The sequence below is a fragment of the Homo sapiens genome, chromosome 9, assembly GCF_000001405.40.
Source record: "Homo sapiens chromosome 9, GRCh38.p14 Primary Assembly".
In the NCBI taxonomy this organism is placed as follows: domain Eukaryota; kingdom Metazoa; phylum Chordata; class Mammalia; order Primates; family Hominidae; genus Homo; species Homo sapiens.
Genome location: NC_000009.12, coordinates 112,111,979 through 112,126,336, shown reverse-complemented (window position 1 = coordinate 112,126,336; position 14,358 = coordinate 112,111,979). Strand labels below are relative to the sequence as shown.

Genomic DNA, 14,358 nt, shown 5'->3' with positions numbered 1-14,358 from the left:
TTCTCTCCTAATCCAATGACTTGTCACTGGGTTCCCTCCCAGACTTCTCCACTGAGCACTTTAACCTTCCACCTTCAGTGTACATGAATCTATACCTCCAACCTCTTTAGTGATGTCCCCTCTACTTCCTGCTGTAACTGAACTCTGTCTTAAATTAGAAGATGTTTCAGATGTCAACAATGTGACTAGGCAGTCTTATGAAACATTAACCATCTCTTTGGTTGGTTGCTTGTGTACACACAAATATATTCATTCTTGGAATGCCTTGGGCCATTAAATACGTCTAAAGGTTTGATGCTGGGAAAACATGATGAGGGCCAAGGGGTCTTGTGTCTGGTGAATATGCATGAAAAGGGAACCAAAGCTCTGTGGGCAAACATGGGACATGAGAGATAGACAGGGTTGGAAATTAGATGAGATCCTGCTCTGGGAAACCTCCCTCCTGGAAATAACTCTGGAGTCCTGCAACAGCCCAAGCATCCATAATGGGATGTAAAAGAGTGCAGTTGCATTAAATCCACACATTCTGTATCAGAGGCTCATTTAAAAGAAGCCATCTATTTCTAAGGCCAAGGATGGCTGATGGGGATATGGAAACAGGTTATATGATTTTCTCTAGTTTGAATGCTGTTATCTCAATAAAAGGACTTCTGTTTAAAAAGCCTGGATGTTAGGAGGGCTTAATTTTCTTGGCTTTCTACGGATTGGGGAGAAAATCACAAATCAGAATGAATGCCTCAAGTTTTTTTCTTTCTTTTTTTTTCTCTGACCATGGAAGAACAGATTTTTTTTTTCTTTCTGCGTTTAGGTATAACTGGGACTATTGGTGACACTTGAAATTATTAGAGCCATCTTATTTTATAGTTATTATACTTTCTTGAATAACATTGTATCCATGAGTGCTATTGTGTGACATGAAACATTAGTATGCTTTACTTCTTCCCTTCAACTCACTGCTCTGGTTTTATTGAAATAATTTGAAAATTTATTTTTATTATTATTTTACATTGTTCAACTTTTAGTTCTAGAATCCTTTACTAATAGTTATGTCAAGCTCTACAGTCACATTTAAACGATTATGGAGACATCCATACATCTTGCTGATTTCATTGTTCCTTGGTGTTTTCTGTAAAACCTGTCTGCCCTGCACACTTATTCTTACGATATTTGTTCTGATTCATTTTTTCGATTTTTTTTTCCCAGAAAAGATAAACGGATCGATTTTTTAAAATTCTGAAATATCTAAAAATGACTTTCTTGGGCTCTTAAGTGAAGTATAGTTTGGCTGGGTCTAGAGTGGTTATGTCATAATCTTTTACCTGTAGATAGTTCTTTGTAAATATTTAATTGTCTTTTAGTAGTCAGAGTTGTAGAGAAAAAAATTTCGTATCAATTTTGTAATTCCGGGTTTGTCTCCTCCTATGCAACTGATTTTTTTCTTTGAAAGATGCATATAAGTTGAATCCTTAGGAGATAAATACTTTCTCCATTAATTTGCTTTAAAAAGTTCAGAGATTTTGAATATCTTCTATTTAACAGTCAGTTGGCAATAATTGCTACAATTGCGTTATCATCTACTCTGGGATTGATGATCTGAAGATACATAGTAAAATGTACTAGAGAACTGTAATATTTAGAAGGACCCTAAGATATATTATTTCATAGATCAATGAATTCTTTATAAGTAAATAATTGCATAGTTTGACTATTCTCTATGTGTGCATGTTTGGAAATTTTATTAAATTCAGACATACTTATATTGGATTATTTGATGGGGTTAGTGTTTTCTCTTTTCCTGTTTGAGTGGCCTCTATCACTATTAAATATTTATTTTAAAGATATGAATTGTAGGGCTGGAAGTCAGGGCTTATAACCAGTGCTGTCTTGGTTCCCATTGCAGAGATCAACTGTGGCAACCCTCCAGAAATGCGGCACGCCATCTTGGTAGGAAATCACAGCTCCAGGCTGGGCGGTGTGGCTCGCTATGTCTGTCAAGAGGGCTTTGAGAGCCCTGGAGGAAAGATCACTTCTGTTTGCACAGAGAAAGGCACCTGGAGAGAAAGTACTTTAACATGCACAGGTACAGATTCTGTTCTGGGCTCCTGCTACCCAGGAACAAAACAGCCAGTGGGAGCCGAGGGCCTAAAACTATCTGATTGCTGCTTCACTCTACATACTGTACCCAGCTCGGCTATTTACCTGGTTGTGCACCTGGCTTTAGATTTGTCAGCTAAATCCTGAAGATTTAGAAGGTGGATTGGAAAAATAAGTTGGATAGAAAATGTTATGCATCCATCTTTTGAGACCCACCTTAAATCGCTGTGATTCCTGTCCCCTCTGCTTGACTGTCTGAGACATTTTTCTCCATGAACCATTTTCTCAGAGGGGCATGCTCCTAACTTAACACCTGTTGACCGCTTTTCAGAGAAAAGGTGGTATGACGAAAAATAGTTTTTTAATGTTTCTTAATTGTGTTAACACACAAAAAACATACAATTTAACATCTAATATAGTTTTATTTCTTTTTTTGAGATGGAGTCTTGCTCTGTCACCCTGGCTGGAGTGCACTGGCACGATCTCAGCTCACTGCAACCTCCACCTCCTGGGTTGCAGTGACCAAGTGATTCGCCTGCCTCAGCCTCCCGAGTAGCTGGGAATACAGGTGCCCACCACCATGCCCAGCTAATTTTTGCATTTTTAGTAGAGATGGGGTTTCACCATGTTGCCCAGGCTGGTCTCGAACTCCAGGTCTCAAGTGATCTGCCTGCCTAGGCCTCCTAAAGTGCTGGGATTACAGGTGTGAGCCACCATGCCTGGCTTACCATCTAATATAGTTTGGATGTTTGTCTCCTCCATATCTCATGAGAAATGTGGTCTCCAGTGTTGGAGGTGGGGCCTGGTGGGAAGTGTTTGGGTCATGGGGGTAGATCACTCAGGAATGGCTTTGTGTCCTCCCCTTGGTGATGAGTTCTTGCTCTTAGTTCACATGAGAGCTGATTGTTAAAAGGAACCTGGCACCTCCTTCTCTCTTTCTGGCTCCCTCTCTTGCTGTGTGACATGCCTGCTCCCTCTTCACCTTCTGCCACGATTGTCAACTTCCCAGGGCCCTCACCTGAAGCAGATGCTGGTGCCATGCTTCTTGTACAGCCTGCAGAACCATGAGCTGGATAAACCTCTTTTCTTTATAAATTACCTAGTCTCAGGTATTCCTTTATAGCAACATGAAACTGATGAATACACCATCTTAACTATTTTTAAGTGTGCAGTTCAGTAGTGTTTATGTATACCAATCTTGTTGCACAACCAATCTCCAGAACTTTTTCATCTTGCAAAACTGAAACTTTATACCCATTAAACAACAACTCCCCATTTGCCCCTCCCCACAGCCCCTGGAACCTCACCCTTCTACTTTCTGTCTCTTGTGAATTTCACTACTGTAGGTATCTCATATGGTACTTGTTCATTTGAGACTGGCTTATTTCACTAAGCATAATGTCTTTAAGATACATCCATGTTGTAACATGTGTCAACATTTCCATTCTTCATATAGTCCATTATATGAGTATCCCATGTTTTGTTTATCCATTCATTTGTTGATGGACACTTGGGTGTGTGTTCCATCTTTTGGCTATGATGAATAATGCTGCTATGAAATGTGTGTACAAATCTCTCTTTGAGACCCTGTTTTCAATTCTTTTGGATATATATCCAGAAGTGGAATTGCTGGTGAAAAGGAGTCTTGAGGCCTGGTGCAATGGCTCATACCTGTAATCTCTGTACTTTGGGAGGCTGAGGCAGTGGATCACTTGAGGTCAGGAGTTCAAGACCAGCCTGGCCAACATGATGAAACCCCATGTCTACTAAAAATACAAAAATTAGCCGGGTGCAGTGGCTCACACCTGTAATCCCAGCACTTTGAGAGGCCAAGGCAGGAGGATTGCTTGAGCCCAGGAGTTCAAGACCAGCCTGGGTGACATAGAGAGACCCCATCTCTACAAAAAATTAAAAATTTGCCAGGTGTGGCGGTGCACACCTGTAGTCCCCAGTACTCAGGTGGCTGATGCAGGAGAATTGCTTGAACCCAGGAGACAGTCGTAAGCCAAGATCACATCCCTGTACTCCAGCCTGGGGGATAGAGCGAGACTCTGTCTCAATTAAAAAAGGAGTTTTGAGACTTCACTTCATATTCTAGCAATGCCATATATTAGCTGTGTGTCATTAGGCCAGGCATTCTGAGCCTCGGTTTCCTCATCTATAAAAGAGGGAAATAAAGTCTGTTTTTCTTACCTCAGAGAGTGTTGAAAAGGAATCGAATAAGATAATCTGTGGGGCGCATTTTAGAAAGCTGAAAGCACCATGCACATGTTAGTCTTTTTCCTAAAGTTGTTAGCCTCATGTGAAGATCTTCTCATGAATCAGAAGCGTGTACTTCTACATGATTCATTTCACACCTCTGCCTCTGAGGAACAAGGTGAGAAAAGGCAATGATTCTTACCATTTGTGGTGGTTGATCAGAAGGTATGACAAATGGTTGTCACATAGTCCCTGGGAATATATTTCTGGCTGTTGACTTGCTTGGCTCTGAAGACAGGTCTCTGAAGAGTGAAATCTCCAGGAGCTTTGATCTGGGTCTCTGGTTTGACTAGCAGCAGAATTGTGGTCTTGCCCACCAACATTTTCCATCGGAAATTCTGGCCAGAGCAAACAAGACATGTAGGCCCCTGGGGATTATTTGTCCATAGAGCAGTGGTTCATAACGATGTTGGGGATGGGAATTTGAGGAAATCTGTCCATTCATTCAATAGATATCTATTTAGCATACACTATTTGTCAGGTACTTTGTCGGCATGACCCTCTTGGAATTTACAGTGCAACAGGGGAAACAGACCTTTTCCCCAAAGGTATGCACATACACATACACATATAATGTTTTACAAGTAGCAAGGTGTTCCTGGACCTCTGAAATCCTTGAGTAAAGCATTCTTGGGATAGATGGAAAGCTCACCTCTGCTGTTGAGGCCCTGTATGTGCCATGCAATTCCTATATTTGGTTATCTCCATCGCGAATTCAAGAGGATGTAGGCCAGAGACTGCAATCAGAAAAACAAAGAAGGGTAGAGCTGGATAAGAACCCAGAGATACAATGCAGTCTTCTCTTAGAGAGGTCTCATTGACTTGCCCAGCCTGCACAGAGGAGCAAGGGCAAACGTGTAACTGACACCAAAGACTCTAGGGGGGTCCAGTCTTAATAATTGGAGCTAATGCCACGCTGGACTAGACTGATGGTCACTCCAACCTATCATGGCATTTGCAAAAGCATCTCCAAGAGTTATTTGGAGGAGGTGAGGTAGCTGCCTCCTGGAATGCTGAATTCAATGTTTGGGGAAGTATTCCCGACACAGAACAACTGCTGGAGTCACTTGGTAAGAGCTGGGTATAGCTTGTGAGCCTCAGCCATTTGCTTCATTGCTCAAGCTGCTCTGCCTCCAACATTCAGCAGTCAATGGGGGTATAAGAATTAGTCACCGCATGAAAAACCAGTGGATCTGCATGGGGCATAGTAAGCTATTAATTAGCTGATGCTTGTAGAGCACTTTGAAGAACAAACATGTTATGTAACTGCTAATTATAATTACCATCCTCAGCCTGCTACCTTTCACAAAGTCTGTGGCTCCAGCTGCAGCTGTTTCCATGGGTTTATGCAAGCTTTGATTTAAGAAAAGAAAAGGCATTCTCCCTGAGAGCTGTGATCTTTCTGTGAGGAGGCCTTTATGCCCTCAATCAGGATTGGCAGCTAAATTCAATTTCCGCAGATAAAGGGGATGATTTACATGCTGATTAATTCATGGTACAGTGCAGATGATCTCTGGGTGGGTAGGTAGGAGAGGCTTCTGGTAATGTAGTGAGAGCTGCTGATTACCATGGCTCTTGCTCAGCTACCCCTCTTCTTTTTTCTTTTCCCTGTTTTTCACTTGTTACCTATTTCTTCACTCCCCTCATCCCAACTGTCTCTGTGTATTTTGTTGTTGTTGTTGGAGATGGAGTCTCACTCTGTCACCCAGGTTGAAGTGCAGTGATCACAGCTCACCACAGCCTCCAACTCCTGGGCTCAAGCGATCCTTCTGCCTCAGCCTCCCAAGCAGCTGGGACTACAGACATGACCCACCACGCATGGCTAAATTTTAAAAATGTTTTTTGTAGAGACGGGTGTCTCACTATGTTGCCCAGGCCGGTCTCAAACTGCTAGCCTCAAGCCATCCTCCTGCCTCTGTGTATTTTATATTTCCCTGTCTTCGTGTTCACGTTTGGCTTCCCCTCTCATCTTTTTCTACTTTTCTGCTTCTCTCTGAATGCCTCCTACCTCTGTCCTGTTTTCACTGTTCATCTTCCTGTTTAGTTCCAAACTGGGTAGAATAATTTATCTTTACCTGGGTTGTTTGTAAGGAAGCCACTAGTCTTTGGGATTAGTAGCACAAATCGTATGTGCTTTTAATGGGGTGTGAGCTCTATCAAGCTGGTGGGACTTATTTTTTCCTGCCCCCTCCTTCCCCGCCAGGCCAGTTTGGACTGGAAACTCCAGACAGCTGGGAATTAGGCAATCACTTTCGTGTCTGGAAAAACCCCAGGTGGAAGCTTGATGTTAATGAGTCGGTTTACCTCAAGATCAAAGAGACTGATTCATTCTTGATAAGACTTTCCCTGGCTTCCATTCTGCACAGGCCATTTGGCTTTTCATGTTTAGAATCTGAGTTAATGATTATAAGGCTGACGCTCACTCACTCCACGCTCTCAGAAGGGTAACATCTCTGCTGGAACAGAGGCTGTTTATCGCTAGGATCCTTTCTGTGCCTCTAAACTGCTCTGGGCACTGCTCTGATGCCTCCAGGACTCCTGTTGGCCTCTGTCCCTTCTGTTTGGCTGGTGACCCTCTTCTCCAGCCCACTGGGTGCTCAGTTGCAGCCACACACATTTCAGATGGAACAGAAAGGTCAGCCGGAATAAATGGATACATTTACATAAATAGCCACATGGCCGGATGTATTGGAATATGTGAATGAGGTTTGGACCATCAAGCATTATAGCTACTGCTGGCTGAGCATGAACGTACACACCCAGGGCTCAGCTAGGGACCTTAATGCTCGATTTCATTTCATCCTCTTAAAACCCTTTTGAAGTAAGCTTTGTTATTTTCATTTCATAGATAAGTAATCTGAGACTCATAAAGGTTAAGTGACTTTTACATGGTCACTCAATAATTAGCAAATGGTAGAGCCAGGATTTGAACTGAGGCCTGTAAGCCCAGAAAGACCACATTCTTTCTCCTACATCAGTGTCTTCCAAGCTTGAATTATTTGTATACCACCCTGACACAATGTTTGCCATAATAAGAGTATTATTTACTTAGAGTGTTTCCTTAAACAACCTAACCTTAAATTTATAATTCAAATTTATTAAGGACAATATATGTGATCTCATGAGTTTGATGAAGTAGGTGTATTTTTCTGATATACACAAAAACTGATACATAACGAACAGATAAAAATGTATTCCTGGCTGGGCGCGGTGGCTCACGCCTGTAATCCCAGCACTTTGGGAGGCCGAGAAGGGTGGATCACCTGAGGTCAGGAATTTGAGACCAGCCTGGCCAACATGGTGAAACCCCGTCTCTACTAAAGATACAAAAATTAGCTGGGTGTGGTGGCACGCGTCTGTAGTCCCAGCTACTCGGGAGGCTGAGGCTGGAGGATCACTTGAACTCAGGAGGCGGAGGTTGCAGTCAGCTGAGAACATGCCACTGCACTCCATCCTGGGCTACAGCGCAAGACTCCGTCTCCAAAAAAGAAAAAAAGTATTCGCGTGCCACCAAAAATCATCCCAAAGTGTGCAATATATTTTACACTAACGTACTCTAAGCCATGCTACTCCTACTTATTTTATGTGAATCTAAGACTTCAAAGAAAGAAAGGAAACACATGAAAACTTTTATAGCCAAACATACATTTATTCAAGTAGGCACTGTGGGAAGCCATACCCTGATTTCTGTGGTGCTGCCATTATCATCATGTGTTTGCCTTGGAATCCTATTTGATAATGTCCTTTGGAGGTAGTTTATGAGCCGTATTAGAAGATCAGTTACATTCCTTTTGAAATCAGATGCTGTTTTGACTAGAAATGATGCTGAGCTTGCTTGACCATCTGTTTGGGTCACCTGGATTTATTCTCTATGACCTTTTGCTGTTTCCAAAAATAAAGAAAAAGGATATAAAATTGGAAACCAAGGGAGTACACTAGACCAGCCCCTGTCCTTGCACAGTGGGACTTCTGAAAGAGTAGTCTGGGCTCACTGTCTTATTCCCTCCCCTCCTATGCTCTTCTCAGCCTACTGGGGGGAAACCAGGCATCGAACACCCCCACTTCACTGTAGCATCTCACCAAGGTGACTGATGACTACCTAACTGCCAATTTCATGTTCCAGTTTCAGCTGTCATTCTTCTCAACCTTTCCACAACATTTAGCATTGTTGATCCTTTATCCATCCATTCAACCAGTTCAACCAAATAATACATAGTTTTTAGTATCTATATTTAAGGCACTGTGCTAGGGCCTGAGGATAGAGAGAGAAACATGGTCTTTGCCATCGTAAAGTTACATTCAGGAGAGGTGGTCATTATATAATGACTTACGTATTTAGTTACAAGTGTGTTAAGTACCACATACAGAAATACTAGATGCTAACAAAATACCAAAATACATAACATTATGTACATCTATATCTATATATACATAACATATATATGTACCTGTGTGTACACACACACACATAGAGTAAAGCAAAACAAAGGCTCTTACTTTATCACTCACTGAGACTTTCTCTCCCCAAATCCAGTGAGACTTCAGCTGGACACTGTGGGGGCCTCCTTCTTTTAAGCCAGAGAGGCCTCTGTGTTCTACAACTGGGCAGGCTGAGGGCCTGCTCTTCCCACCTCTACCCAAAGTCAAACCACAGATCTAATCCTGATGCCGTGGGCACTCCATGAGGGGAGAAAAGCCATGTGAGAGGAGAGAGGGAGATGGAGTTTGCACCCTCTGCCTTGACCTGCTCCAGGCCCTTCTTGGCTAGGGGATGAGGAGGCTGTGGGAGACTGGTGGGAAAGAAGGCTGATAATTTTCTTAAAAGAATTTATTTTTATTTTTTAGGGACAGAGTCTTGTTGTATCACCCAGGCTGGAGTGCAGTGGCACGATCTCAGCTCACTGCAACCTCCGCCTCCCAAGTTCAAGTGATTCTCGTGCCTCGGCCTCTTGAGTAGCTGGGATTACAGGTGTGCACCACCACACCTGGCTAATTTCTCTATTTTTAGTAGAGACATGTTTTTGCCATGTTGGCCAGGCTGGTCTTGAACTCCTGGCCTCAAGTAATCCGTCTGCCTCGGCCTCTCAAAGTGCTGAGATTACAGGTGTCAGCCACTGTGCCTGGCCTTGGAAGGCTGAGAGACACTCTTTCAAGTCCTTCCTTTCCTTCCTAGACATCAGTCACTCTACCAGCCTCCTGCCTCTCTTCTGCATTGCCTTTTTCCTCTGGTTCCCCCCTGGGTTTCAGTGTTTCCCAGTGTTCTGCCATTGGGCCATTCACTGTCTCTGTCCTACCTGCATATCTCACCTGCACCCATACCTTCAACTAACATTCACAGATCTATGACTTTCAAGAGTACTTTTTCCCTACATAGTCAGCAGATAACATCGTCACAGCCCAGTGCCTGGCATGGCAGGATGCTTGGCATTTGATAGCCATTCAGTTAGTAGTGAGCAGGGAATGAAAGAGCCCTGGGACAGCTCCAAAGAGGACTTCCAGAAATGTTTTCAGTTATCAGCACTATTGGAATGAGGGCATATAGTCTCCATTAAAAGGGCAGCATTAATGTAGATGTTGAATATCTGATTCTTTTATAAAGGAGTCTTTCCAACTAATTTGTAGGCACCTGGAGGGAAAAGCAACCAAACTTTGTTAAACTGCTCCCTGGGATGAAATATCTGACACCCCTATAATTGGATCTGGGTCCCATCTGTGCAGAGAGCATGGCACAGGCTGGAGGCAGATGGCATCTTTGAGATGCCATTTACAGTTGTCATAGTGAATGAGCAAGAAGGAAGGACAAGAAAGAAAACTCCTTTCTAATCTCTGCTTCGATGACAAAGGAACTGAGAGTAAAAAGGAAATTCGCTTTGCTGGCAACTCAGAGAGAAGATGAGGGCTGGGCTGGTGCCTTTTCTTTCTGGACCAGGTGGTGAGTTAGCATCAAAGGGATGTGTAAGTGAGCAGAGATGCCAAGAGCTCTGGGGCTTTGAAGGGCAGCAAAGAGGGTAGAGGCCAGAAATATCTGGGGCTTGTTCAGGCTGATAAAAGACTGGTACCAACATCATCTTTATGCTACCCAAGGGGGCGAACTGAAGGTCATTGTGTCTCTTAGGGTACCCATGCTCATAATTGGAGTATTTCTTTTCTTTTTTTTTTCTTTTTTTTTTTTTTTGCAATGGAGTCTCATTCTGCCGCCCAGGCTGCAGTGCAGTGGCACAATCTTGGCTCACTGCAACCTCTGCCTCCCAGGTTCAAGCAGTTCTCGTGCCTCAGTCTCCCAAGTAGCTGGAATTATAGGTATGTACCACCACGCTTGGCTAATTTTTTTGTATTTTTAGTAGAGATGCGGTTTCACCATGTTGCCCAGGCTGGTCTCAAACTCCTGACCTCAAGTGATATGCCCATCTCAGCCCCGCAAAGTGCTAGGATTACAGGCGTGAGCCACCGCACCCACTTGGCCCACAATTGGAGTATTTCTTTGATTTCAAATTGTGTGTGTTCTAGGGAGAAATACTGATATAGAGATCCAGGAATGCTGCAGACAGCCATAGGTGGCCTTTCTGGTATCTCGGCAGGAGTTTGCCTATTTTTCCCTCTCTGCCTCCATTGATTTTCACTTGCTAATAGATAACTTGGGCTTACCCAAGACCAGGTCATGTGGGACACAGAATCTAGGCATTGCTGCTGAAGGGATGATTTAGTAAAGATATAAACTCTTCTTTGGGCAGAGAGGTCAGTAGATCTGGGTCAATCCAAAGCTAGCATTGGTTCTGAGTACAGGAGAATAGGATTGGCCCTACAGGTACCTAAGGTGCAGGCTTCCTTTTGCACTTGGAGACTGCGAAGAGATTTACTAGAAGGGAGAAACGGGAGCTGAGTTGTGGAGAGTCATTTTCTGACATGGAGAAATAGCTTTCTCACTCTTCTTAGATGGGAGCCTTTCACTGGGTTTATATTTATTATGCAGTAGAGAATCAAATCCCAGGCACCAGGAGTGGGAAACAAGGGCAGTAAAACAGGGAAAGAAGGAGAGTCAGCGTATGATGCCTGATTGTACTGGTCTCCACAGAGGGTGGGCATTACCACATCTGTGTGACAGTGTCCTTAGACGCTGAAGAAACTAAGTCTTTGTTGGACAGCCCTTCAGAGGAAAGAAAGGAGGAAGGATTTCTCTACCAGCTCCTGTCCCCACAGGATTTTAACTCCCCTGCACTTCCAGATGGCATGTGCTGGGGTGTGGGTGCTGCAGCAGGGAAGTCCCAGAATAGGAGGCAAGACCTGGTCATGTTGTCAAAACCCATCCAGGGATGGGACAAGGAGCAGGGGAAGCTGAGAGAGGCTGAGGAGTTCTTAAGAGGTGTCTGCTTCAATGGGAAAGCTTGAGCTGGGGCTGTGGAATATCCCTTTTTGGTGACATGAGGACAACTTTCTCTGGGAATAATTATATGATAGCTTCTGTCTGCAGGAATTTTGTTTGTTTGTTTTTGTTTTTGTTTTTGAGATGGAGTCTCACTCTGTCACCCAGGCTGGAGTGCAGTGGCAGGATCTTGGCTCACTGCCACCTCTGCCTCCCAGGTTCAAGTGATTCTCCTGCCTCAGCCTCCCAAGTAGCTGGGACTACAGGCATGCACCACCATGCCCAGCTAATTTTTGTATTTTTAGTAGAGACGGGGTTTTGCCATGTTAGCCAGGCTGGTCTTGAACTCCTGACTTCAGGTGACCAACCTGCCTTGGCCTCCCAAAGTGCTGTGATTACAGGCGTGAGCTATTGCACCAGGCCTGTTTGTTTTTGATAGTATTGTAAATGAAATTGTTTTCTTAATTTCATCTTTGGACTGCTCATTGCTAGTATATAGAAATACAATAGATTTTTGTACATTGACCTTGTATCCCGCAACCTCACTGACCTCCTTTCTCAGCTGTAATACTTGTTTTGGTGTGGATTCCTTAGAGTTTTATATATAGAAGTATATAAGATTGTATCATTTGCAAGTAGAGATAGTTTTACTTGTCTGTAGGAAGTTTATTTTATTTTATTTTATTACTTTTGAGATGGAGTTTTGCTCCGTCACCCAGGCTGGAGTGCAGTGGTGCAATCTCAGCTCACTGCAACCTCTGCCTCCCAGGTTCAAGTGATTCTCCTGCCTCAGCCTCCCAGGTAGTTGAGATTACAGGCATGTGCCACCGTGCACCGCTAAGTTTTGTATTTTTAGTAGAGATGGGGTTTCACTATGTTGGCCAGGCTGGTCTCAAACTTCTGAGCTCAGGTAATCCGCCAACCTTGGCCTCCCAAAGTGCTGAGATTACAGGTGTGAGCCACTGCACTCGGCTGGGAATTTGATTTCAAAGAAATAAAAAGCTAGATCCCCTTTCGTTCTTCCTGTCTGCACAACCACTTGCGGGTTGACTGGGAATGCTGAAAACTATGTTACCTCAGGGAACCAAGGCCTTCATATGGTTTCCCACATTGCTGAATTCATTAGCTGGAATATATGCAGAATATTTAAAAGAAGCAGAACAACCCAGAGGAATCAGTGGCATCCTGATAGACCAGGATTAAATAGCTTCAGTTACAGGAGTCCCAGAAGTACCTAGGAACCTTGTGGAGAATTTCTTTAGTTTGCCCCAACCTGTTTCTGAGGCATGGTCCTGTGTGGTGAGACATGTCATTTTCCCCCTGGGGATAGCAGTGACTTGAAGGAGTTTCCCATCATTCTGCTGGGAAGAGAAAGGTGGAAGTAGGTCTTACCTGTGCAGTTGCAGGGAAGGTCTCACTGAGGACCCAGCTCTGGGCCTCATTCCATTCTACCAGAGTGGAATGCCAGTGGCATCCAGTGGCCTGTCAGGTGAATCACAGGTTAGAATTCTGACCTATATCCAAGCTGGAATCTTTCCTTTCCCTCTAAGTCAGGTAATGGGCCACGCTCATTCATGATGAAGAGAAGTTGGGTGATTGGCTTGGGAGAGCTTGCATTGCCTGACTCAGTGTCTGCCTCTGAGGATGAATGGTGACCAGCAGAGATACCAGCTATGCAGAGAGACTGATCTCCTTTAGAATTTTGCTAAAGCCCATTGATGCATTTTGTGAGTTGACTGCCTTTTTCTCTTTTAGAAATTCTGACAAAGATTAATGATGTATCACTGTTTAATGATACCTGTGTGAGATGGCAAATAAACTCAAGAAGAATAAACCCCAAGATCTCATATGTGGTAAGTAAAGTGATCTACTTTTTCCTGCTAGGACAGACACGTCACCCATGGGAATATGAGTCAGAGGGACTTGCTTCCGTGAGAGCTTCTCAATCTAATTGCTGTTTTTTTTTCTTTTTTTCTTTTATTTTTTTTGTGAGACAGTCTCACTCTGTTGCCCAGGCTGGAGTGCAGTGGTGGGATCTTGGCTCACTGCAACCTCAGCCTCCCGGGTTCAAGCGATTCTCCTGCCTCAGCCTCCTGAGTAGCTGGGATTAGAGGTGTGCACTACCATGCTTGGCTAATTTTTTGTATTTTCAGTAGAGATGGGGTTTCACCACGTTGGCCAGGCTGGTCTTGAACTTCTGACCTCAGATAATCCACCTACCTCGGCCTCCCAGAGTGCTGGGATTATAGGCATGAGCCACCGCGCCTGGCCTCAATCTAATTGCTTTCTGATCCCATTGTCATTTAAAAAGAGTGGATGGAATTTTTGAAGATATCTGGATGATTTCGTTATTTTGCATTTTGTGTTTAACATATTTGTCATTCAGCAGGGTGCATGTGTGGGGGATGCATTTATATTTGGCATCCTCACGATTGCTTGTTTCCAAGCACTTGTATTTCACTCCCCCAGAGCAAGCCCGGGAGCGTCTGCTGACTTGGTGACAGAGTGCAGCCAATGGTCCTCAGGTTGCAATTGTCTCCATTTGATCATTTGTGTGCAGGAGAGCACTTCCTAGGGAGATTTCTCATTTATGTCTCCTCTAGGGGTTTAATATTCACTGGGCTGATCAGACTTTATCAGCAGAC

The 14,358-nt window shown here is 43.8% G+C and overlaps 1 protein-coding gene across 15 annotated transcripts in view, besides 1 other annotated feature; it reads left to right on the top strand.

The window, feature by feature from the left end:
• SUSD1 (sushi domain containing 1) overlaps window positions 1-14,358 on the top strand; it is a 134,515-nt gene that overhangs the window by 48,961 nt on the left and 71,196 nt on the right. For all 15 annotated transcript variants that reach the window (XR_007061338.1, XR_007061340.1, XR_007061339.1 and 12 more), the window contains 2 exons: window positions 1,901-2,080; window positions 13,469-13,566. Coding sequence is in view for 11 of the 15 variants with exons in the window: in XM_047423727.1 (XP_047279683.1) it covers window positions 1,901-2,080; window positions 13,469-13,566 (278 nt within the window). In the remaining 4 variants the exon portion in view is untranslated. The remainder of the gene's footprint in view (window positions 1-1,900; window positions 2,081-13,468; window positions 13,567-14,358) is intronic.
• Window positions 5,272-5,843: an enhancer, noted in NCBI's record as "OCT4-NANOG hESC enhancer chr9:114882774-114883345 (GRCh37/hg19 assembly coordinates)". NCBI's record gives its function as "activates a minimal SCP1, AML or CMV promoter by ChIP-STARR-seq in naive and primed H9 embryonic stem cells {active_cell/tissue: H9 hESC(naive and primed)}" and the evidence as "EXISTENCE:reporter gene assay evidence [ECO:0000049][PMID:30033119]".